General features: G+C 48.5%; 1 annotated feature.

Annotated features, from left to right (window-relative positions):
• Positions 1448-1877: an enhancer, noted in NCBI's record as "active region_7530". NCBI's record gives its function as "activates an Ori minimal core promoter by ATAC-STARR-seq in GM12878 lymphoblastoid cells {active_cell/tissue: GM12878}" and the evidence as "EXISTENCE:reporter gene assay evidence [ECO:0000049][PMID:35858748]".

The following is a 26512-nucleotide window of genomic DNA, read 5'->3' as shown; positions in this document are numbered from 1 at the left end:
TGCCCTGGACTAAAAGCCCACCCTACTCCAGTATGACCATATTTTAATTTAACTCGTCATATCTGCAATGACCCTATTTCCAGATAAGGTCACACTCAGAGGTAGCGGGGATTAGGACTTCAACATATCCATTTTGGGAGGCACAGTGTACTCTCTAACAGATGTAATAATAGTTTAAAATCAAGATGGAACATAAAACAAAGGGGAAGTAACTTTGACTTACAGCTGGATGGATGTCACACAACCCCTAAGGGAAAGGCATGAGAGGTGGTTTCTTCCTTGGACTTTGCAAACACAAGTGCCAGCCCAAGGCTCCCCAGGGCCCTCTAGGGGAGTCCTGCTCAGAGCCAGGCCCTAGAAAGACTTCCTCAAGTGCCTCAAACCTCCCAGTTCTGCAACATCTGCTTGGGTTAAATTTGATGTATTGGCCATTAGCCGCCTCCCCAATGACCCCCTCCCCATGCCACCCCCTAAAAGTAACCCAAAACAAAACAACAACCTTATGATGGCCAGGATGGCTGTATAAACGAGTTTGAAGAGAAGAAAGAGGGTGACACACAGAGATTTCTCAAGAGCAGAAGGGAGGCAGAGACAGGCTGACTTATTGTTGGTGATAGAAATTCATCTTATTAAGGAGTAATGAACGGTTTTGCTTGGGAATTAATCACCAAAGCCTTCTCCCTGGAGTAAGAAGAAATAGAAAATGCCAGAATAAAGGCGTGCTGGAGAGGCTGTGATGGCAGCTCTAGCAGAGGCTCCTGATGGGGGCTGCACACTGAAATCATGTAGGGGGGATTTTAAAAAGACCCATGTTCAGCTACGCCCCAGACTGATGACAGCAGAATTTCTGGGGTGGGACTCAGGTATCTGTACTTTTCTAAAGCTTCCTAGGTGATGCCAATGTGAGGCCCGGGTTGAGAACCACTGAGCTAGAGGGTCGCATCTAGCTCCTTGACCTTCTCCACCGTGAGGCAGGGGCAGGTGGTAAGAGCAGCCCATCTGCCTGTCACCCTGCCGAGCCTTCCGTGTATTTCCTGCTCAGCTGGCATCAGCCAAGTGGACACTTCTTTCTGGGGTCTTTCATTTCTTAGCCCTGTTTCCTCTCCTCTGGTGTTGGGGTGAAATGAGAGATTCTGGAAACTTTGGTGAGATCATTTTGAGTGTCTCTTCTATATAGAAAGACCTATACCAACTGTAAAAACAAATTTTTTTTTGAGACAAGGTCTTGCTCTGTTACCCAGGCTGGAGTGCAGTGGCATGATCATAGCTCACTGCAACCTCAACCTTCCGGGCTCAAGTGATCCCTCCATCTCAGCCTCCTGAGTAAGTGGGACAGTGGGACTACAGGCTTGTGCCACCATGCCCAGCTTTTTTTTTTTTTTTTTTTTTTTTTTTTTTTTTTTTTTTTTTTAGACACGGGGTCTTGCTGTGTTGCAAAGCAGCTCTTGAACTCCTAGGCTCAAGTGATCTTCCTGTCTTGGCCTCCCAAAGTGTTGGGGTTGCAGGCATGAGCCACCATGCCCAGCCTAAAAACAGACTTCTACTGCAAATAAATTGGTACAGCAGCCTTTCCTGAGCCTTAAAGCATTCCAGTTCCCAGAGGGTAGGGGTTCAGCATGATATGAGACACAGTGAGGCCCAGGTGTGGGTGAGTGTCTGTTTCATTCCTTACTTGGTGATAAACACAGTTGAAAGCTTGATGGTTTCTGTTCATATCAAAATGTCCTCGGGTCAAAACAAGAGTAAAGCGAGTGTGTCGGAATGTCCCTGGTAACAAAATGACTGTGTCAAATTGACGAGAATCCTCTTGAGAGAGGCCTAGGGGACAACTGGAGGCCTGAGTCGGAAACAGCCTCTGCCAGGGGGCCGCTCAAATCCATATCCTTCTGCTGCTGCATAGACCAAGCTTGTTCCCTGCGATCTACCTGTTCTCGCTTGAGTCTATAGCCACATTGAGATAAATTGCACAATGGATGCTGATCGGGGGGATGTTTTGAGAGCTGGGTCCATGCCAACAACTCCAGAGTAAACTGAAGGCAGCCAGCTGGGTGGGCACAAGCCTTCGTAAACCAGATCAGCTGTGGCTGCAACAGAGTCTCTAGGGGTCATGAGCAGCCTCATTCATACCAAGGAAAACCTCGGGCCACATCTGGGCAGAGGTTCTCCCCAGACCCCCCACGGCCCCCGTAATGACAAATACTTTTTGTCATTTGTAACTTTCCTTTATTTTCCTGAAATAGATTTTTAAAAAATCCTTATATTACTCTAACATTAATATAAATAGAAACTATAAGGAAAGGAATTGATAATAATACATTCCACTTAAAAAAATATAAAGGCTCAGGCATGTCTAACCAGACAACCTAACAAGGAGCTCAGAAGCTTGGACATACGTGTAAAGTCACTATGAATGGGACCACAAATGCAGACTGAACTTTTCCAATCACAAGTCGGATGCCATGAGCGGAGCCGCTGTTGACATGTATTTCTGAAATTGTGAACAGCTCTTGGGAGGGTTCTGAAATAAACTTGGTAGTTGCACTTCTGAAAATTTCAGTTTATATTTAAACAGTTCAAAAATGCTTCGTGTTTTTATGTAAAATGCAGTTTGTTTCTAAGCTTAGATGATTGTAAACATCAATATCCCAAGGACTCGAGAAAACTCTTCATTGTGTGGGTGGTCCCTCACGTTTCAGGACGTCTAGTGTCCCTGGTGACATTCCTGCATTATGGCTTCTAGAAATGTCTCCTTCCCCAAATGGTAGTTCTGTCCCCGCTGGGAATCAACTTACATGGATGGTGAGTCTTTGCTTCCTAAACCTCAGTCTGGCGAAGAGCTTGGTGCTCGACCTTCATTTCACCTTCTTTTCTTCTTCCTCTTCTTCCTTTTCTCAGAGGGCACCAGCAGCTCTCTGGCTTTCTTGGGGGTGGTCAGCTCTTCACTCATGGTGGTCTCCTCACTTCCCTTCCCTGCTGCAGTGGAGAAGGCTACTTTCTCTTCCAATGACCACTGATTTTTATTTGATTACCAGAAGACAGCAGATCTTGTCTTGAAAATCTTGGACCAGTTCCCCAATGCTGTGCTAGACAACTTGTGAGTGGCACTCCCAGATGTCACAACCAACAATCTCCTGAACACCTTCTCCTTCCAACTCAGCAATTACTGTTAGTTCTACTATCCTTAGGTCTAGCAGTGTAGAAGTGTTCTTCCCCTAATTTCTCTGAAATAGACTAAATAGTGGACATGAAATTTCTGCGTGTATAAGAATGACCTAGAAAGTGTGCATGAATTTCAGATTCTCAGGGCTTGCCCCCAGAGATGTGAATCCAGTGAGTGTGGGAGCCTGCATTTTTAACAAGCAGCTCCAGCCTGCACTTTTTGAGACACTGTCTGGTTCTGCAGATGGGTGTGGAGGTGATAAGGTCTTCATCAAAATAGACTGGGAGGGGTCCACCCCGGTAATTAGGGACTCCAAAGTGGATATCCACTTAGGGTCTTGCACCTTGTCTGGGACACTAATACACATGTATATGGCACGGGGGGTGGTGGAGGTCTGTGGCACAGACTTCTATGCATTCTCCCCTCCTTTTAGAACTTACCTCAGTTTTTTGCTGGGCACAAGACAGTCTGCCTGTATTAAAGACTACATTGTCCAGACTCCCTTTCAGCTAGGCATGGCCATGTGACAGAATTGTGGCCAATGGAATGTAAGCAGAAGTGGTGGCTACAACTTCCAGGAAGTGGAAGTTTAAGAAGAGGGGCTGTGCCCTTTTATTTCCTTTCTCTTTCCTACTTGCAGGAATAGGGTGTAGATACCCTAGGAGACCTCAGGAACAGAAGACACAGAAGATCTGCTGGATGGAAGCAGCCTGGGTCCCTGGCTCTGCAGTCTCCATAACTGCCTGGGATGTACTGACCAACTCCAGCCTTTGAGGGAATATTAGAGAGACAAAGACTTCCATCTTGTTTAAGCCACTGCTATTTTGTTTTGATTTTTTCAGTGACTCATAGTTGAAGCCAAAGTTTCCTAATACTTTGTCTCAGCTGAAAATGAACCAGCGCTCGGCTTAGGATTTAGCTGTCAGGAGAGCTGCCCAAAGGGTCTGAAGTTCCTTCTGGGCAATTGCTTCCCTTAAAGGAAGAACGCGGTCTCTCCCCACCCTGCACCCCATAGGAAGAGTGTCTGTGGCCATCAGTTCCCTGGCCACATTTCTTCTCTGTCCCTGCCTTTCCCACAGTTCACACACCCTAAGATTGAGTCTGGGGTCAGGTGGCTGGGGGTGATGGTGGAGGTCTAGATAAGCAAACCAGGCAGAAGAAAGGGGAGGGGTGTCAGGTGCTTCTGGCATTGGCTCAGGATCTGAAGACTTTGATGCATCAGCGGGGCCCAAGCTTCCGGTGAAAATGGGGTGCCCTTCCCAGATCCAAGGAGGGCCCCAGTGCCCCTGACACTCCCTTGGAGTAGCCTCAGGACAGCAGCCACTGCTTGCCAGGAGCTCACAGCCTCAGGAACACCAGCAACAGCAGGAGCACAGGAGTGGGAGGAGTCCCAGTGGGCAGCTTGGGGTGCTCCTGAGGGCACCTCACACATCCTTAGAGACCCTGAGAAGTAAGCCAGGGAGGCCATTCCAGGCCCTGCAAAACATCAGATGGAGCCGGGGCAGGAGGGACACCCAATCTCAGGGACGTGGCTTGGGGAATGCAGGCCCCTTGAGAAGCCTTGCTGGGTCTGTGTACAAGCTGGTCTGCCAGGCCACATGTGGACACCCCCCTGTGGAGGACGCGCCCCGCCAAGCTCTGCTCCAGCCACCTTCCCCCGCCCACTGCACACTTCCCCGGCCGCTGTCTGGTCTGAAGGACGTGTCTGTTTATAAGAGGCTCTGCTTGCCCTGGAGGTTCAGAGCATGCTTTTCCTTTTCCCTCTGCATGTGCGCACACCTCCGGCAGAAGCAGAGAAAAGGGCTTAATGACTCATGGAGACACATGCTTGGCAGCTTCTTCTGTTTCTTTTCATGTGCCAAACAAGACACCCATGGAAATGGCCCTGTGGTTTTTGAATGGAGGCCCTATAAAATCACAACATCTGATATTCCTGATCTAGGGACTTGCAGGAATCCTGAAGCTGAATTCCAGAGCAAGGTTTCAAAGAAAGCCTGCAGGAAGAGGCAGCTGTGACGGGGCTTGGCAAGCAGGCTGGACTGGTAGCACTTTTGTGGCTCCCTGTCAAGGGCGGTGGGGTTGGATGATGCCCTCTGGGACAGAGTTGAGGGTTGGAGCATTCTCTGAATATTTCAGGAAATCACCGACTGTGACCTCACGGCTCTTTGGCTGTGTGTTTTCATTAAGCTTAACCTGTGTCTGGACTGATGGAGAAACTTGTGGATTCCCCAGCAGAATACTCAGCTGGGGTTTTAGACCACAGGAAGCTATTTTCATGGTTAGAAAAAAAGGATCTGGGGCTGGGTGTTGGTGGCTCATGCTTGTAATCTCAGTACTTTGGGAGGCTGAGGCAGGAGGATCACTTGAAGCTGGAAGTTCAAGACCAGCCTGGGCAACATAGTGAGACCCTGTCTCTACAAAAAATTTTTAAAGATTAGCTGGGCGTGGTAGTGTGCACCTGCAGTCCTAGCTACTTGAGAGACTAAGGCAGGAGGACTGCTTGAGCCCAGGAGGTTGAGGCTGCTGTGAGCTATAATTGAGCCATGGCACTCCAGCCTGGGTGACAGAGCAACACCCTGTCTCTAAAAAAGAAAAAAAAATGCATAGCTGGTACCATCCTCCTGAGCCTTTCCTATCATATGTAGAGATCTCCTGGCAGCCCCTCGTGAGAGCTGTTCTTTCCTCTCAGAACTGTCTTTTCTGGACTAAAATGTCCAGGAGCTGCTTCCAGGTTGCCTGGGATACCAAATGGCTTAATAACCCTGATGAGGCTGAGAGAGTATAAAACGATGATCAAAAGGAGCATCTGCCCTCGAGATGTCCTCTGAGCTTGGCAGAAGATTTCATGTTTGAGCAAGTGAATCATCTGACCTGCGAGCCACCCTCTAAAAGCCAGGGTGTGAAAGAAATCAGGCCAGGTCAGAGAAATCAGGCTGCGGGCAAATGGGGATGCTAATAAAAATAGGAAACGTGACATTCCACTGTACCTGTGCTCTTATTCATAAATCCGAGTGCCTCCAGAACTGTGAGATGTTCAGGTGTTTGGAACACATGGAGCCCCCCCTTTCCGTTCCCCCCACACATGTCCGGTAATTTATCTACACATCTGACTATGCAGACCAAAGGAAAAGACCATCTCGGTCTAGCAATGACAAGGTGCAGAACACCTTACTCAGGCAAAACACCTTCCCTCTCTGGTTCTCAGTCTCTTCAGGTGAAAATGAGGGGGTCTGACTGGCTGTTCTGTGGGTTTCCTTTCAGTTCTCAATGCTTTATGACTCCAAGATTTTTTTCAGATCAATTTCTTGAGACAATCAAATATTGACTAAGGCAGGCGCAATGATAAGCACTGGAGATACACGGTGAATACGACGGTATCCCAGCTTCAGAGCCCAGTGGGTAACACAGGTGCAGAAGTCAATTCTTAGAACCCAGTGAGGTGAAGGAGACCAGAGTGACAGGCAAGTTGCTTATGGGCGCACAGAAGAGGGTGTTCTGCTGAGTGTTCAGGGCAGGACGTGGGTGCTGCGTCTGGAGGGTGGGTAGCAGGCCTCCTGCAGGTGGTCACGAGCTCCGACAGGGGATGGGAAGTGGGGGTCTGCACATTGTTCATTACGAAAGAGGAACGAGGACATTCCAGGACCTGAGGCTGAGTGGTGAGGGACCTTGTGGCACGATCAGATTTGTATTCTCAGGTCATCATGTGGGCAGCGTGGAGGCTGTTTTTTTTTTTTTTTTTTTTTTTTTTTTTTTTTTAAGACGGAGTCTCGCTCTGTTGCCCAGGCTGGAGTGCAGTGGCGCCATCTTGGCTCACTGCAAGCTCCGCCTCCCGGGTTCACGCCATTCTCCTGCCTCAGCCTCCCGAGTAGCTGGGACTACAGGCGGCCGCCACCACACCTGGCAAATTTTTTGTATTTTTAGTAGAGACAGGGTTTCACTGTGTTAGCCAGGATGATCTCGATCTCCTGACCTCGTGATCCGCCTGCCTCGGCCTCCCAAAGTCCTGGGATTACAGGTGTGAACCACCACGCCCGGCCGAGGCTGTTTTGGAGGAAGCAAGACTGAGAGCTTGGAGACCAGATAGCAGATTGTTACTGTAATCCGTGTGGAAGCAAGTAATAGCCTGTGCTAAGGAGGTGACGTAGAAGGAGGTGCGGGAGGAGGATGCAGCTGTGGGAGGAGGTGGGGTCTACAGGGCTTGGGTGGTTGATGGGATCTGGTGAGCGGGTGAAGCGCAGGAGTCAGGATGAGGCCTGGAGTTTAGACGACCAGCTGGACAGCGTAGCCATTGGCCTGGAGAAGGAAGAGAGAGGAAGAGCAGATTCCGGTATTGGGGTGGGTAGCTTACCTGTGCATTTGGGATCTGCTGTGATGAGGGTGACTGGAGGGCGCCCGGGTAAATGGATGTGTCCAACAGAGAGCTCAGGACATGCGCCTGTGCATTGGGAGACCGATGGGACCAAGACACAGACTTGGGGGTTGGCAGCACACAGTAGGCTGCATAGAGATGAAACTGCCTGAGGAAAGTGTGTGGAGGGAGAGGAAGGCACCCCCAGGCTGGGTCCTGGGGGTGTCAAGGTTTGGAGATAAACACTGGAGGTGACAGATACCCTAAACACCCCGACATGATCATCACACAGTCTAGGCATCCATCAAAACAGCACACGTACCCCATAAATACATGCACTTATTGTGTATCAATAAAAAAGATTCGCAGAGCAGAATGAGTAAGGATAGTTAACAAAGGAGACCCTCTCAGCCTAGAGGAGGACGGGGACCCAGGTATGACATGAAACCCAAGGGCCACAGTTGAGAGGGAGAGCGGCCGGACATCAAGCAGCACTGAGAAGATTCGGCAGAAGCAGCGGAATTGAGCGATGGACCAACACCATTCACCACCTCAGAGGGTGGAAGAGAGTCTCTGAGAGGAGGAAAGAGAAGAGAGAGTGCCCATGCTGTCCCCACTTTTTTAAGAGTTAGCAACAGTGTATTGTACATTGTATTTGTTTTTTTTTTCTTTTATTTTAAGTTCTGGGATACATGTGCAAAATGTGCAGGTTTGTTACATAGGTATACATGTGCCCTGGTGGTTTGCTGCACCTTTCAACCCCTCATCTAGGTTTTGAGTCCTGCACGCATTAGGTATTTGTCCTAATGCTTTCCCTCCCCTTGCCCCCCACCCCCCGATAGGCCCTAGTGTGTGATGTTCCCCTCCCTGTGTCCATGTGTTCTGATTGTTCAACTCCCACTTATGAGTGAGAACATACGGTGTTTGGTTTTCTGTTCCTGTGTTAGTTTGCTGAGAATGATGGCTTCCAGCTTCTCCATGTCCCTGCAAAGGACATTATCTCATTCTTTTTTATGGCTGAATAGTATTCCATATGTGCCACATTTTCTTTATCCAGTCTATCGTTGATGGGCATTTGGGTGGGTTCCAAGTCTTTGCTATTGTAAATAGTGCTTCAATAAACATACACGTGCATGTGTCTTTATAGTAGAGTGATTTATCATCCTTTGGGTATGCCATCAGAGTGAACAGGCAACCTACAGAATGGGAGAAAATTTTTGCAGTCCACCCATCTGACAAAAGTCTGGTATCCAGAATCTACAAGGAACTTAAACACATTTACAAGAAAAAAACAAACAACCCCATCAAAAAGTGGGCAAAGGCTATGAACAGACACTTCTCAAAAGAAGACATTTATGCAGCCAATAAACATATGAAAAAAAGCTCATCATCACTGGTCATTAGAGAAATGCAAATCAAAACCACAATGAGATACCATCTCGCTCCAGTCAGAATGGCAATTATTAAAAAGTCAGGAAACAATGGGTGCTGGCAAGGCTCTGGAGAAATAGGAACGCTTTTACACTGTTGATGGGAGTGTAAATTAGTTCAACCATTGTGGAAGATGGTGTGGCGATTCCTCAAGGATCTAGAGCCCATGCCCCTTTGAATAACATGAGCAGCTCTGCAGGAGTGTGGGCCATCAGCCGCGGGCTTATCTGCCCAGCCCATGCACTTCCGCCCTCGCCTGCCACTGTTCTGTAGTCCTGTGAGTTCCCCTGCTCCTAAGAAACTGTGTTTGGGAATGTCACAGATTTCCTCCAGTAGGAAGATGCCACACTTGGCCTCTCTTGACTCGGAAATTCTTGTCTCCCTGAAGTTCTCAAGTCACTCCTAGAGCACCAAGCTTCAAGCTGGCTGTGCTTGGGACAGAGGTCAGGGCGAGCCCAGGCCAACACACCCCAAGTCTCACCTCCCTCCAGTACTCCCCCCACATTCACACAGACTTCATTTTGAAAAAATCTAAGCCTACAGAAAAGTTGAAAGAATGGCACAATGAATATATCCATTGTCTGGATTCATGAATTAACATTTTGCCACATTTGTTCTCTCTCTCCCTTTTCCCTCTTTTTACCCTCCCTCCTCTCTCCACAGAAATACCCCAAGAGGTTCACAGTGACACCTCACCCCATTATCGGTGACGCTAACTTTGATAGCAAGTAATGGCAGCTCAGTCTTCCAGGGGAATGACATCTTTTGCATTTGTAACTGATGAGAAATATGTGGAGTGTTGCTTTAAGGTCACGTGAATCTCCTGTTCCCCAGCACCCTTCAGCAATGCTTTTTGCATCTGATGATCCTGCCTGAGTCATTTATGATGTTGGTGGCTGCAAAATTCAATCCCTTTGCTTTGTTTTGGGCACCACTGTAGATTCGTGGATTTTTTTTTTTTTTTTGAGATGAAGTCTCGCTCTGTCGCCCAGGCTGGAATGCAGTGGCGCAATCTCGGCTCACTGCAACCTCCGCCTCCCAGGTTCAAGCAATTCTTCTGCCTCAGCCTCCTGAGTAGCTGGGATTACAGGCACCTGCCATCACGCCCAGCTAAATTTTGTATTTTTAGTAGAGATGGGGTTTTACCACGTTGGCCAGGCGGTAAACATCCATTTGTGGATGTTTTAAAGTTCAATGTCGTATCATCTATTAACCATCATCACCATTTTAATGGTCATATTGTCTCAAGTTTGGTCAGCAGCCCCTCCAGCTGGCTCTGATGAACTTCTGATGAGTCTCCCTCCATCTCAGCACTTCTCTACTCCCTGGAACAGCAAAATGCTCTATGCCCACCCATTAGTTTTCTTATCCCTAGCCTGGAATTGGCCATTTCTCTAAAAAGCCCTGACATCATGTGGTGGGGAATGTATTTAGAAAACAAAACATGTGTGTTAGTGTGTTTATTGCTATTGGGATGTCACTGCTTCTAGGATCTTCAGTACTTTTTAAAAAATTTTTAAGATGATAACAGCTGAAGCTTATTTCCCGGCTCTGTGCTAGGCTGTCCACAGGCAGCATTTTATTTCAGCCTCACACCAACCCCATGAGGTAGGTGCTGTTATTATCCTCATTCCACATTTGAGCAAACCAAGTTTAAAGAGTGCAGGAGACTCCTGAAATCAGGATCCAAGTCCGAATCCAGAATCCACTCTTCCAACCATAGCCTCCATCTTGAGGACCTGCGATCTGCCTGTCGTGGTGCAAACATTCTTTATCACTAATCTCACAATAATGCTGCCAAGAAATATGCTCCCATTATACAGATGGGGAAGCCTGAGAATCACAGAGGGCACATGCTCTGCCTGAGGTCATCAGCTGGCAGAGCCAGAGCCAGATCGTGAATTCCAGCCAGGGTCTCTGCTTCCCCTCCCCACCCACAGTCCTCACGTTGTGTCCTGCTTGGGTTCTGGGACCAGACTGTTTTGAGGAAAGGTGTCTGAGACGCACCCAAGGCACTCTTGGGCTCTGTCCCTGCCTTGCCAGCTTCTCCTCACCTCCTGGAACCATGGACGAGTTGAGATGAGAGAGAGGGCCAGGAGCAGCCGGCGAGGACACACAGCTGTGCTTGTGGATGGAGCTCTGGTTTCTCTGTGTGCTGGTGGCAGTGGTGGAATTTCCTCAGCTGAGAAGTGCAGACCTGGGAGCAGACATCAGCCACCACCCTGTGTGTGGCTGCTCTGTAGGCCTGAGGTGCCCAGATCAGAGTGGAGAGGACAGGCTTGCTGTGGATTGTGAGGTTGGAGCACAGGGTGCCAGAGGCAACAGACGTGGATTGTAGTCTCATCTCTATCACTTGTTATCTGTAAGATCTTGGGTTAGTTTTTCATGAAAACCTCCAAGCCTCAGTTATCTCATCTGAAAAATGGGGATAACAGTATTTACTTACCCCCCAGGGTCGCTGGGAGGATAAGATAACATGCATGGAGTGGAGGGCCTGATCCACTGTAAGTGTGTGAATTAACACCATCTGGCATCACTGCCACTTCGTTAAGGCTGGAGGCACCAGATGGGAGCGCCAGGGAGAAGATGCCTTGCCACACAGCTGGCTGGCGCCAGGCTCACCCTCTCCTGAATCCAGTGGGTCTCTCTATAACTGAGCCAGTGGCTTTTAAAAAAATTAATTACTTTTAAATTAAGTTCATGAGAGGAAACAGTTTCAAAGCTGCCTCCAGTCCTTGTGTAACTCTTGTCACAGTGGGAGAGACGGTGAGTTGAGGGTGGGGACGGGGCTCAGGGTGGGAATGGAGAAGGAGACAGGGAAGGAAGGAGGGTTGGCGGCCTCTGGGGTGGACAGCAGGAGGCCTGGGCACCTGCCTGGGGTTCTTCCTCCAGCTGCCCACTACACATCTGCACTTGGAGGTCAGCCCTGGATGGAAAGAACTCTTGGACTTCCCTGCAAACCAGTGTCCGCCCATCTTCCTTGTCTCAGTAAATGGCCATCCAGGCATCTGCTTATTTAGGCCCCAAACCTCACAGGCATCCTTCACCCCTTCATCCTTCGTCCCCTACAACCAGAATCAGTTGGCAGGTATGTGCTGGCTGCTCTTCCAAGATCGTTCTTACATATATTGTCTTCTTGCTCCCGCTAATGCAGATGTTAGGCAGAAGGAGGCCATGCATCAGCAGGATGGCTGAGACCAGGTGGAGAGCAGGCTAGGGCCAGCTCAGGCAGATGACACCCTCAGTCACCCCAGCCACCCCGGGGCTCCAGCACAGTCCCCCACTGCCCTGTCCCCCAAGGTTAGAGCCACCATGGGAAGGAGGAGAGCGAGGGCCTGAGAACCCAGCTGAGAGTGCAGCAGTGCGGGGTGTCTGTCTCCCCCTTGGGCTGGAAGTGGCCCTTTCCCAAGGTTTTCCCGGGAGTGGAGTTGAAGTCTCTGTCTATGGGGGCTTGAGCCGTGCAGGGCATTTTCTCTCACACTGTCCCTGGGGGCAGGCCACATCCCTTCTTGCCTGGATCACTGATGTCCAGTGGCTCATTGGTTTGGTTTCCTCGCTGCCCCTCTCTGGCCCATTCTACAGCCAGCAGCCAGCGTGACCTCCTGAAAACACGCATGGGGTCACATTCCTCACCAGATTCCAGCCTGTTCCCACCTGAGACTGAAGCTGGGCCCTTGGCTGGAAGGAGCTGCCCCCGCAATGGTTGGAGAGCTCTCCTTGCTAATGGGTGTTCAACAATCAATGCAGATTTGGCTTCACACGGCTTCCCCAGGCTGGTTGCCTGCCCTGCACCACCCACACCAGCGCTGCCTCCCCAGGTCAGCTTTCTTTTCCATGTTGCCCTGTTTTGACCACATTTCTCACCCACTGGATTTATCTTCCTCCTTTAATCACTCACTTGCGTGTAGTTGACTTGCTGCTTCTCTCCTCCTAGGGCTCAAATTCATTAGAGTGAGGGCTTGGTCTTATACCCCGCTGTTCCTGGCATATAGTAGGTGTTCAATTAAACATCTGTTAGGGGGTGGAGTTGCTGGCAGGGAACACGTTGTCCAGGACCTTTCTTTTTGCAGAGGACTGAATAAGCTCATAAGAGATGGCTTTGTGTCTTTCTCAGGAGCTGCCCTAAGGCTTTGTAACCCTCCACATTAGGACTTTCTTTCTGCTCTGTCAGGCTCATATTTGTTTTCACTGAATCATGGTTTTACAGCCAAACCAGCACAGCATAGCAGTTAAGGCTAGGGCAGGGGTTTGGCTAGAGCAGGGGTTTGGATGACAGTTAAATCTGGGTTTAGAGCCAGGTTCTGCAACTTGCTAGCTTTGCAAAGCTCCGAAAGTTACTTCACCTCTTAGAGCCTCTGTCTTCTTGGCTGTAAAGTGGGGTGTCTTACAGAGTTGTGACAATTCAATAAAGTGATAAAAACAAAGCCATTAGCACAGTGCATGGTAGCCAGAAGGGCCACAAAATATTTCTCCACTATTATGAGATCTGAAGATGGTGGCAGAGGGCGCAGTGCCTGGCTTTCTGGAGATCAGTGGATGTCTTTATGGCCACTGCTTTAAATCCTCTGTGGGTGACCTTTCCCCTGTTGTTCGTCTCTGCTCACATGGATGAAGCTGAGGCCCCCAGAGGAACCCTGGAAGCCACAGAGCTGGCAGGACCTAGGGCCCCTGCCCCTTGCCCCTGCTGACGGAAGGAGTCACTCACTGAACGAGCTGCCCCATCTGGCAGGAGTGTTGTCTGTCGGGAGGCCGTGTGTCCCTGGTTACAATGCAGTCACTGTCCAGTGGCCTGTCACCGGCCAGGACAAAGCTAGCCTGTTTTGGTCATTAGCTGTTGCTCTTTCAAAATAAAGAGAAGCCACAACTGAGTCTTTACCGAAGTTATTTTTAGATTTCTGGCTTCATAACAACCCTGGAATTTCTTATTTTCTCCTACTCTTCCTTTTATTTTGTTTTATTTTTTTTAAAAGCAGACAAGTCAACCTAGAACATTGAATAAATAACCCACCAGAGACAGCACGGAACGATCCGAGGCCACAAAACACATCACTTGTCCCTGGGTGATCTAAGGAGGTAAACGAACCTCTTTGGTTACAAGAACCTCAGCTGTCCAGAGACACCTGCCGGACACAGACTCCACTATGGGGCTCCCAGCTCTGGCCCGGTGGCTAGACGGGGCGTCAGGACAGGGCCACCACCTCCTGGGCTGGCACTGGAGGCGTGTTTCCAGCAGGTGTGTTTCCAGCGGTTGCTTGCTTTTTGTCCTGGGCCTTATCAACAGGGTGGAGTGAAAGGGAGCTTCCAGGGGAGGGCTCTCAAAGAAACACGCCTGCGCGGCCCTGCGGCTGGGGCGTCCCAGGCAGGCAGCACAGGCGGTCCTCACTGAGCTCTGTCTTCTGCTCCAGAAGGAGGATCAGCCCCAGAACCACAGGGAGATGCACTTTTACCAGGACCCATGGGCTCCCTCCCGGCAAGGACCAATAAAGTGATTAAATGAAAAGAAGTAAAACCCTCGGCTCAGGCAGCCAGCAGAGGCTGGGCCTTCAGGGTCACTAAGGATACGTGCAAAACCGCCTGCCCACAGCGCTGTGGCCTGCCTCGGTTGACAGTCACGCATAAGCCGGCCTGCCTTAGGTGGCCGAGGAAGGGAAGAAGTGGAATCATGGAAAACATCCTCCCAGTGGACAAGGGCGTCAAATGGCTGGTCCTCCAGGACAGGAGAGAAGAGAGTCTAAACCAAGAACCCCAGCCCGCTGGCTCTGGGGAAAGAGGGTGGCTGGAGAGACTGCCCCGGCGGCCTAGGAGGAGTGATCCCCGGGACCTTCTCCCAGCACGGCCCACCCAGTGCAGGGACGGCAGCGCCACCAACTCTCTGGGCTCTCGGTCCTGCCTCCGGGTCCCCGTCGCTATGGCCTGGACCTCTGCCCCCACCCAACATGGAGCCCCTTAAGAGCAGGGACGGGTCTCACTCCTCTCTGCCGTCCTCACCCCGGCTCTACGTCCAACCCTCAGTGAGTGCCCCCCCAAGTACTGAATAATGAATAAACGCATGTGCACCGAGGACGTGCGAGGCGTTCGTTTCTCCACCAGCCCTTCCTGGCCCTCTCTGCAGAGGCAAAGGCTGAGAGGAGCTTCCTTGCCAGTTCTGGGGGCGGGTCCCTGGTCAGGCGCGTTTCATCTCAGCACACAGCAGCCCAAGCGAGGCTCTCTCTCAAACAAGGAGAAGCCGCCCCCTGCTGGCCGCAGCCGATAGTGTCACACAAGGCAAGCAGGAGCCCTCTCAAAGGAGCCGGCTGCCAGCTTGGTGCTTACAATGGGCTGGCTGTGCAGGAAGAATGAGTTCAAGAGAGCTATTGTACAACGAGGTAACTAGAGTTAATAACAAGATATTATATCCTTAAAAGTTGCTAGGAGAGTAGATTTTAAGTCTTCTCATTGCAAAAATGGTGTGTGAGATAATGCATAATTAGCTCGATTTAGCCAGTCCACAAGGTACACATATTTCAAAACATTACATTGTACACGATAAATATAAACAATTTATATTTGTCGATTAAAAATAAATTTAAAAACACAGTTTTAAAAAGCTGAGATTTTCCTCCCCTTCTATTTTACTCATTTCTTTCCTATACCCAAACTCCTGCCATTTCCAGTTACTAACCCTGTGAATACTAGGTGAAAGTTAGCAATTTGTGTTGGATATAATTTCATCTCAGAAGACAAGGAAAAGGTGAACAACTATAGGAAAGGAAATAAAAAATAATCATTAAACTCTCAAAACAAACTCACCACCAGGGTTATGAATTTTTAGAACTGATCATCTATTTTCATGTAACAGAGAAATTCATATTCTTTGAGAAGGAGCTATTTCTTCTCTAACACAAAAGGGAAAGCGTTTATTAATAACTGACATTTGACAAGAGGGCACGGCATGTGCATTCCTGTTTGTGGGTGAGTTTGGTAAACAACAAGTCTCTTTTTTTTTTTTTTTTTTTGAGACGGAGTCTCGCTCTGTCACCCAGGCTGGAGAGCAGTGGCACAATCTCGGCTCACTGAAGCCTTCGCAGCCTCCATCTCCTGGGTTCAAGCGATTCTCCTGCCTCAGCCTCCCAAGTAGCTGGGATTACAAGCGCCTGCTACCACGCCGGCCGGTTAATTTTTGTATTTTTTAGTAGAGACGGGGTTTCACCATGTTGGTCAGGCTGGTCTCAAACTCCTGACCTCAGGTGATCCACCCGCCTCAGCCTCCCAGAGTGCAGGGATTACAGGCGTGAGCCACCGCGCCTGGCCAACATCTCGTCTTTTGACAACAGCCTCTCTGAAGGTTTGGGTCCATGTGCCTAGCATGGCCACAAGGGGTGCAAGGTCTTGGAGAACATGGGATAATTTCTTGGTTTCAGAATTCACATCCAGGTTTTCAATATCTTCATTTTGTTGTGATCATGTTAAATAACTTCCATTGCAAAAGGTGCTCAGAACCTGTGCCGAGCTAGTGTGAGTGAAGACACAGCTTGTCCTTGCAAAGTTGCGTCTGCAAACAGAGCAACCTGATCTTTGAAGGTATCCTGGAAATCCACAGAGAGAGCTCCTTTCCCATCACTCAGCTCAGTATTAGCCGTGCATCACAGTGAAAAGAGCGTGGGTTTTGGAGTCACACAGGCTTCTGTCCAAATCATGGCTTTGCTGTTTGCTAGCTGGGACTCAGGCCGCTTCTTTAGCTTCTCTGAGCCTGATTCCTCTTCTGTAAAATTGAGGTACAATGTAGAACATAAGGTGGTGGTGACAATCAGGTGTGGCATTTATTTGTTTTATTTATTTATTATTTATTTATTTGAGACGGAATCTCACTCTGTCACCCAGGCTGGAGTGCAGTGGCACCATCTCGGCTCACTGCAACCTCCGCCTCCCGGATTCAAGCAATTCTCCTGCCTCAGCCTCTTGAGTAGCTGGGACTACAGCCGCGCGCCACCGCACCCGGCAAATTTTTTGTATTTTTTAGTAGAGATGGGTTTCACCATGTTGCCCGGGTTGGTCTCAAACTCCTGAGCTCAGGCAATCCACCTGCCTAGGCCTCCCAAAGTGCTGGGATTACAGGTTTGAGCCACCGCGCCCGGCCCAGGTGTGGCAGTTCTAAAGGTGGAGGTTACCTCCGTAAATGGTGCCCAGTGATTATTAACGGTGTTTGGCCACTATCAGTTCTGGGTGTCAGAGATGCCTACAGCACACAGGGATTACATTTCTGTTGACTAAAAATCTACACTAGTTTCACAATTGGATTATGAAGTTTGGGTTCTCAGAGAGATACTTTTCCTCCTTTCTTTTCTGGAGTGACACTTTTATCCCACCCTGCTGCAGGGCAGTCCGTGAGCATCGAGGCTTCCTCAGGCCTGTGCCTTACCACCTCCCTGATGTGAATTGGATTTGCTGTCACTACCTTAGCTGGTAGTCTTCAAACTATTCTGACCATGCTTCTCTATGATGAAAAATGTTGGGGCAGGTGTACCCTCATCTACGTATGTTTATTTTAAATTACAAATATGCGGCCGGGTGTAGTGACTCACGCCCAGCACTTTGGGAGGCCGAGGTGGGCAGATTGCTGGAGCTCAGGAGTTCGAGACCAGCCTGGCCAACATGGTGAAACCCTGTCTCTACTAAAAATACAAAAAAAATTAGCTAGGCATGGTTGGCAGGCACCTGTAATCCCAGCTACCTGGGAGGCTGAGTCAGGAGAATTGCTTGAACCCGGGAGGTGGAGGTTGCAGTGAACTGAGATTGTGCCATTGCACTCCAGCCTGGGTGACAGAGGAAAACTCTGTCTCAAAAAAAAAAATTACAAATATGCATACATATGCACACACATATTCTACTGTCCATTTATTTATCACATATTTATGTAACTCAAGCTTTTATTCTTAAACAAAATAATTATGAATAGAATTTTTACTTTCATCTTCCCATATTGGAGTAGATTTACTTGGGCATCTGCTTCGGAGACCCCATGTCCTCAGGGTCTGGGAAGGGTCAAATTGCCCAGCCTCTAGACACCATGATTCCCTTCATCCTGGCATCACCACATCACCATCCTGCTACTCTCACAGGAAGCTACATTTCCCTCAGTTTCCAAGTGTTCATGTCTCGATGACATGAGTGGATTTGCCATCCATTCATTGATTGAGTCATGAGCCCTACAAACATTCATGGGGAGGGTCCTGTTGAAGAAACTTCACATTATGCCCTGAGGTAAAGAGGGGGGAGGTCAGAAGGGTGTATTCGGATGGCCTCTCTGACTTCCTGATGCTAACAGCTTTCTCAGAGGTTATTGTGAGGCCCAACCACTATCATGCTTGGAAAGCTCCCAAGGCGGAGGAGAGGGGCATGTGGTGAGGACTGTGGGAGGGTTATTGCCTCTCCTGCATGCCACTTCCATCTGTCTATGGAATAGCAGTTACAATACCTGCATCTGCACCAATGATGCTTCTGCTGCCTTCCCAAGGATGGTGGAGTGTGAAGTGCTATGACCACCCTCAGCAATGAATGTTCAAGAATCACTCACTGATCACATCATTTATGATTAAGATTTGGACACTGATATATAACAACTATTAGTGATTCTTTGGAAGACTGGTATGCATTTCTAGATTCTATTCACTTAAAGTTTTAAAAGTTTTAAGCAATTGGCTGGGCATGGTGGCTCACGCCTATAATCCCAGCACTTTGGGAGGCTGAGGTGGGTGGATCACCTGAGGTCAGGAGTTGGAAACCAGCCTGGCCAACATGGCAAAACCCCATCTCTACTAAAAATACAAAAATTAGCTGGGCGTGGTGGTGGTTGCCTGTAATCCCAGCTACTCGGGAGGCTGAGGCAGGAGAATGGCGTGAACCCAGGAGGCGGAGGTTGCAGTAACCCGAGATTGTGCCACTGCACTCCAGCCTGGACCACAGAGCGAGACTCCATCTCAAAAAAAAAAAGAGCAAGATGAAACTTCATGAAGACAGACCAACAGCATGGAAAAAAAGGATGACTAGAAAGGAGAAAAGTGAAAACTGCAGGAATAGTCAAACTGCAGAGCCAGATGGGGTTCATCAACCAGCGATATGCACATACAGGTTCTGAGACAGGAAATGTGGGCTGCAAGCATGAGCAGAGCAAGATGGGAGAATCTTACACCTATTCAATCAACACAGTGGTGGTTTGCTAATAATTACACAGACGTTCTGCCAAGCCATACACCCTACCTGCTACAGCTAGTTAGTGTTGCCATTATCATCACTGTTGCAACTGCAACCTTGAGAAGTTCAGGGCCTAGTTGGGAAGACATACCTAACAAGCTGTAAGAGTTCCTTGCCCCCTTGCTGGCCAGCCCAGGGGCCTTTACCATGTTCTCCCCACATCCGTAAATAAACTTCCTCCGCTACACTGTAAAAAAAAAAAAAAAAAGAAAAGAAAAAGAGTTCCTACAAGTTAATTAGTATAACAGATGTCTGAATAATCGACTATGTGATGCATAAAAGAAGTAACTTCTGGGGGTCAGGGAAGATTCTGGAGGGGCAGGGACATTTGAACTGGGCCTTGAAGACTATGTAGGAGTGCATGAGGTAGAGAACAGGAGAAGTGTATTCTGGGTAGGGGAATGGGGAGCAGCATGTGCCAAGACCCAGATCATGGAAGAACTTGGCAGGTGTTGAGGAGTGAAAGATTAGTGTGGAAGGAGATAAGGGAGAGTGTGTGAGTTGGATAGCATATAAAGCTAATGAAGTATGTTACATAAAGTTCATGTGAGCTGGGCTAACACATTCCAACTCTGCTATGTTGACAACAAAGGTCTTTAAGCAGGCAGTAACAGAACTGCCATGCTCACTGGCTAACTTCTGAATTCAGAGTCTCGCTCCCAGGCAAGTGAGCTATTGAGGCTGCCCTGGATGGGTTGGCATCATTTTGGGCCTGGTCTTCAATCATCCATGTTCAGAGACTGACTCTAAAACACCGTGTGATTTCTACTGGGGCAGCCCTGCCGTAATTCTTAGTGCCTCATGGTTTGCTTGGAGGCCCTAAAAGTGCCTAGAGGTTCCATGGGTGACTGAGTCCTCAATCAGATCTCTTGCCCCACTGAAGGAAATGGTCCCTTCTGACCAGTGACTGACCACCTGGCTTCTGGGTAGAGTTCAGTGTTGAGAGAAGGAATGAGTTGGGTCTTCCATTGGGCTTGGCGTTTTGCTGCCATAAATGGAATCCCAGCCTGCAGCAGCATCTGACACTCAGAGGTGACTGAATGCTAAAGGCACTTTGGAGCTCCCAAACCATGTTGGTGCCGGGGAGTGGGAGGAGAGAGAGGCCCCCTCTCTCAGCTTCAGGGGGATCTACGCAGGAAGTAGCCCAATGGAGTAGCGGTTGGAGTCTTCATTTGGAGTAAATCTAGGTTTGACTTCTATCTCAGCCACTTACTAATGAAGTGACCTCACGAGTGATTCATCCTCCTTGTGCCTCAGGTTCTCCTCTGTAAAGCGGAATGGCAATAGCCTTCTTATTAGGTTCTAGTGCAGATTTATTGCAATTTAATGAAATAACATATAAAATGCTTAGCATAGAGACTGGCATCCAGTAGTTAATAAATGGTAGCTGTTACTGACTTATTCAAGATAAGGTCTCTTTAGTGACAACCTCTTTCCTCCTCATGATTCCCAGCCTTCCGCCTGGCTTTGCTTCTCTGTGTGCCTGGCAGCTGGCTGCCACCCCTTTGTCAACTCTGGCTACTCAGCTTTGCTGCCTGGAAAAGATCTGCAAGGCTCCAGCCTCTAATAGGGCTCTGATCTAGCCTCAAAAGCATGAAGTGTCAAGACCTGGTGAACAGCTCTGGAGCTTTGGTGCAGCACAGAAGCTCTCGGGTGCACTGTCGGCCTTTGGCTGGCTGTGGTTTATGGGTTGGGTAGCTTTATAGCTTGTGGCCATGCAGGAAGAGATCTTCACAGCCCTGTTTTGGGAACACCATTAGGAGCTGTGGGACTGATAATGCTGCCTGGAAAAGCAGGGACAGGGAGCCAGGGAGAATCCTCCTCCTGTCGCACCCTCTGGCTGGGCTTAGGAAAATGTCATCCAGAGTGAAAACTTAGGGATAAGCTCAGATGAGATTGTTTCTGGAGGTCATGATCAATAGGGCAGTGTGCAGGCACCTATCTGAGAGCTTGGAGTTAAATCGGTGTGCTCCCCATTGCCTCTTCTAGGCTAGGCCTTTAGTCCACACGTAGGGTAGGACTCATAGAAACACTAGATTCCAGTTCTCTAAGTTCCAGCAGCAGGCGAATAAAGTGGCATTGATACAGGTAGAAGCCACACAAGATCAATCACATTCTGATCAATAAAAAGAGGACTTTCACGAACACCCAACACTCCTCAGAGACGGACAGGCCCCGTGAGGGCTTCTAAGCATCCTAGGCTGGGTGAATTCAAGCACAGAGGGTGGGCAGCTTGCAAAACAGACATGCATTTTTGGGGTTTACACTAATTTGGGCTTTGAAATGCTTCAAACCATGAAAGGCTCTGGTGGAATACATTTAGAGACTGCATTTCTTTGCTCTCACTGTGTGCCTTTGGCCAAACCTTAATATTGCCAGGCCTCAGGTTTCTCACTGTAATAGGAAGGGATTCAACTGGGCGATTTCCACAATTCTTCCAGCTCCCAAATCTATCAATTACATGTAAAGATCTGGGAAAAGAAATAATAGAAAAAAAATACACTTTTTTTTTCTTTTGGGAAAAGGTTTTACCTTTCTTTAAAATTGAAAAAGGAAAAATTTTGGAGAATGCATTTTTGAAATAACTAATAAAATCTTTCAGCTAAGTTATTTGCTTATTATTCCCATCCTTGATTCTTCCAACATTGCTTTTTAAAATAGACAATTAGAATTGTTTTATGTTACCAGTTCCTTCCAATTCCTGAACTCCGGGAACATTCTGTACAATGCAACCCACAGACTCCCAAGCAAGATGCACTTCTATGAGCTTCAGAAGATGTTTTTATTGTTTTGCCCAGGGCCTCCTTTGCTCTGAAGTATCCTTGCCAAGCCTATGAGAATGACTCACATCGGCCAGCACCTTTTATCCATCTACAGTGCTTTTCCAAGCTGCATTTACAAAGCAAACACTTCACTCTCCTTGTGCAATACCTAGGGGTGGGAGAAGTGACTGGAAGCAGAGAACCCTAGAAGTTCAACACACACACACACACACACACACACTCACACCACACACACACAGCTCAGGGCAAAGTGACTCTCCAAAGCAGTTAGGTACCAGCATTAATTTACAGAAGGCAGAAAAACATTCTCCAGAGGACCAAGCTAATGCACTGCTGAAAACTGGACATTAGGATGGAAATGCATGATTTATAGAGTGTCTATTCCGTGCCAGGCACTGCTGGACTTGCTACATATGTGAATGGAGAAGCAGGTGCATTTACTACTTAGGTGGGATGAGTGACGGAAGTCATGCAGATTATGGGTCACTGAATGAGGGGCCTTGGACAAGTTGCCTACGCACTCCATGCCTCCATTTCCTCATCTAGAAGTACAGATAACAATAGTCCCAATGTTATGGGATTGTCATAAGAATTAAATAAGACATGTAAATAACAGTGCAGTGCCTGGCTCAGACTAAGCACTCAATACATGTTAGCACTTCTTGTTATGTTTTCTTATTTAATCTCCGCAAAATCCCTGTAAATTGGCAGTGTTAGATCTATTTTATAGATAAAAATATTGATGCTCAGAAAAGTGGCCTACTTATCCTGGTGGCTCAGGAAGTGAGTGAGCTTAGCCCCAGGTCCTCTCGCTTCCGGGATAGTTTCCGCCTGCAGCCCCAAGGAGGGTCCTCGGCGCCCCAGGAGCAAACAGACCGACTCCGGCCTCTCAGCGCTTTCCACATCTCTTCAGGGGCTTGCACTTTTGTTCTCTCTGCTGAAAGAGTGAACCGACCGTGAATGGCCTTCAGCCACTTCCTCACCAAACCCTGGACTTGGGTCTGTTTCCAAAGATGGTTGCCGTGCATGCAAAACACTCAAGCATCACAAAACCAGACAGAGCTTTAGAGATCCTTTCAAGAATATCCCACGGCTTCTCAAGAGGACAACCGGGGCCCAGAGAAGTGGGCACCCAGGTCACATCTCAGAGCTGGACCAGAATCTGTTCTCCTGACAGCTCCTCCGAGGGTCTTCCTGCGATGCCTCCACACCTCGCACAGGCTGGTGTTCCTTGTTCCCATCTGGTCTTCAGACTTCCGTCTTACTTGTCTTTCCTTCAAAGGCCGTCTCTGTATCTCACCCAGGGAAAGCATTACTGCTTTCAAGGCCCTGGCTGCACACTGTCCATGCGTACATCACCTACTCAGTGCTGGGTGCATGCCAGGCTCCACTCTGTGCCCAAGGAGACCTGTGAGTGCCCAGACAGATGGTTCCCTGCACTCCCAGAGTGAGAGGAGGAGACGATAAACAAGTAAAATATGCAGAGACGTGAAATCACCAGCGGTTTGAACAAGTGCGCTGCACGTGATGCAGAGGCTGGTGTGGTGCCTGGGTGGTGCCCCAGTGGGGACGGGTGGTCAGGTCACCTCTCTGGAGCAGGGCTGTTCCGTCTAAGGTCTAAATCATGAGGTGAGCCATCCTGTTGAGGTGGCAGCAGCTCAACCCAGGCAAAGGGAAGAGCCAGCGCCGGGACGGCAGACCAGAATGAGACCTGGGAGTGCCAGGGGAGAGTAAGGGGCGGGAGGAGAGGGTCGGGCTGGAGGTGGATGTGGCAGGAGGGCTAAGGTGTCCTGAGCTCCCATCAGGGCTGGCCTCTTACTCAGAGAACTGCAGCAGCCACGGTGGGTGCAAAGCAAGGGAAAGACATGGCAGAATTTACTTTTTGAACATAACTAGTGGCTACTGTGGGGAATAGATTTTAGGGGACTTATTAATAAGCTTTGCCATGGGAAGATACGTCCCCAGGTTTACCAAAGCCTACCATGGTTCACATGTGAGTTCTTGCTCACATTTCTGGAGAGCCAAGGGCCCTGCTGTGCTCCAGCTGCCTTCTCTCCCCAGGACCAGGCTGAAGGGGGAGCCCCTGACACAGGTGGAACCAGGGCCCACGAGCCCTGCCACCCGCAACCAAAGCAAGTCCCAAGGCCCAGGCCAAAGTGGATGAGGCTGAGAGGGACAGTCCTTTCAGCAAGAATGAAGGGGTGCATGGCTGCGAACCATGACATGGCCACCCAGGGAGGCAGGCGGGACCCAGGAGCCAGGGAGAACATGGCTGTTCGATGGAGGATGACGGTGGCTTAGGCCCCATGAGGAGCCTGGCGATGGACAGAGGAGAAAGCTCGGAGGATGTTTGAGAAGTCAAGTCAATATATACCGTGTGGAAAGGGCTATCGGGAGAGAGGAGAATCAAGAATAACTTCAGATTTTTGGAATGAGTCATCGAGTGGATGGTGGTGCCACTCACAGAGACAAGGATGGCCAAGGTCAGCTTGGTCATGTCAGTGAAGGCGCTCATGAACCGTCTACATGGAGACCTCCAGGAGGCTGCTGGGCCCCAGAGCTGCAGTTTTGAGGGAATAGGGGAGAGACGACCGACTGCCTGCCTTCGTTCAGGTTTCCTGCCCATCCTCATGTGTCCTTTCAGAGGAGGAGAATTTCTGAACATCTGATGCCATGGAGGTGGAAGGAGCTGGTATTTTTAAAGTAGGAAGTATTAGGAAGTAAAGTTAAAATATTTATGAGTTTTCAAGGTATTTATAGTTGTAGGTTCCTTTGTGAGCTTAGGAGCACACAAGTCAATGAAGGAGGGCTTGTAGGCAGAGGCCGGCCTGGTGTGGGGTGGGCTATTGGAGCCCAAGCACTGTGACGGCTGTCCTTGGCAGGGTGGGAATCAGAGTAGGGAGAGGAGGACGAACCTCCCCAGGGAAGCGGGCCTGATGTGGGTGTCCCCACAGGCAGTGTGAGTGCAGGGTGCGTGGTTGTGGGGATGGGGGTTGGCCACCTACAAGGGGATTGGTCAAATGAAGGGATATATTAAGGTTAATAGGAATCCAGCTTCTCACTGTCAGGGAAAGGAGGAAAACTAGAGTTTCCAGTTGGATTAGAATTGGAGGTATTTGTGGGATCTCACAGTTTTCAATAAATAATGTATTCATCTTCTTGGGCTGCTCTCACAACATACTGCTGATTTAGTGGCTTAAACAACAGATATTTATTTTCTCACAATTATATTAGACACTATAATTTGGTAGTTAAGCCATTTTTAAACTATAACTTGGTAGCTATAGTTTAAAAATACTTCCTCATAAAATAATGATTATAACAAAGAGGAAATGAGTGATCTTCCAGAGAACATGACTGACACCAATCTAATGAGGTGATTAAAGTGAACATTATTAGTAATAGGACAAATCAAAATTTCCTGCCGCCTGATAGGATGCAATGAGAACACAGCATTGCATTTGTGAGATTTCTTCTGAAGATGTCTAACCTGTATGCAATCACAAGGGAACGTCACACAAACCCAATATGAGTGACATTATACTAAATAACTAGCTTGTCATCTTCAAAGTGTGGAGGTCTTGAGAGACAAGAGAAGACTGAGGAACACTTCCAGTCTGAAAGAGACCAAGGAGACAGAGCCTGCTAAGTGATTCAGAACCGGGTCCTTTATCTAGAGTGGGCCAAATGATGAGGCTTGAATGGGGTCCAGGGTTCTAATGCATCAACATTAATTTCCTATGTTGGTGGTGGCACGTGGCTATGTAGATGCAAGTCTTTGTTTGTAGGAAATATGCATGAAAATATTCAGGGGGCTGGTGCAGCAGATCGGCTATGCTGCTTATTCTCAAATGGTCCAGGAGCAAGAAAAGCTCTTTGAACTGAGCTTATAGTTCATGACTTAATAAAAAGTTTAAGACTATTTTATTCATATTTCATAAATCATAAAGCTGAGAGACCTTTCAGTCTAAATCACCTAAATTTTAGAGATGAGAAAACTCAGGCCCAAAGAACTTAAGTGAACTCCCCAAGGTCCCACAGCTAGTTAGTGAGGAAGCCAGCCCTGGTGCCCTTGCTTCCTGTGGGCTGGACCACAGAATGTTCCACTACATGCCCCTGAGGCTAGGGGACACCCAAGAGAAGAGGAATCATGAAAGCAGTTTATCTAGAGCTGGAAGCTCAAATTCATGGATAAAGATATTCAAGCACAGAGAAGCTAGGTAGCTTTACTGGACTTAGTTCCTTTACTGTGTATCTGGTACTACTTACTCTGCCCACATGTAGTCATCCTTTTCACAGGGATCATGCCAACGCTTTGCTAAAAAATGCAATCCTATGTCTAACGAAATTCCTTGACCTGCTAGTTTGGTAGCTGTATACAATTTATTCAAAATGTTGTGTCATATTTAGGTTTATAACCCATAATAGACTCTTCATGGTACCACTTTCTTTACTTCTGCTCATAAGTCATCTACTTAACACTCAGTTCTAGAATTGCCTTGGCAATGGATATAGCACTTGAGTTCTGCTTAGTTTGTTCTTAGAAGCACATGGTTGGGT

The sequence above is a fragment of the Homo sapiens genome, chromosome 13 (assembly GCF_000001405.40).
Source record: "Homo sapiens chromosome 13, GRCh38.p14 Primary Assembly".
Lineage (NCBI taxonomy): Eukaryota > Metazoa > Chordata > Mammalia > Primates > Hominidae > Homo > Homo sapiens.
The sequence above is the reverse complement of the archived record's forward strand: the minus strand, read 5'-3'. Positions and strand labels throughout refer to the sequence as shown.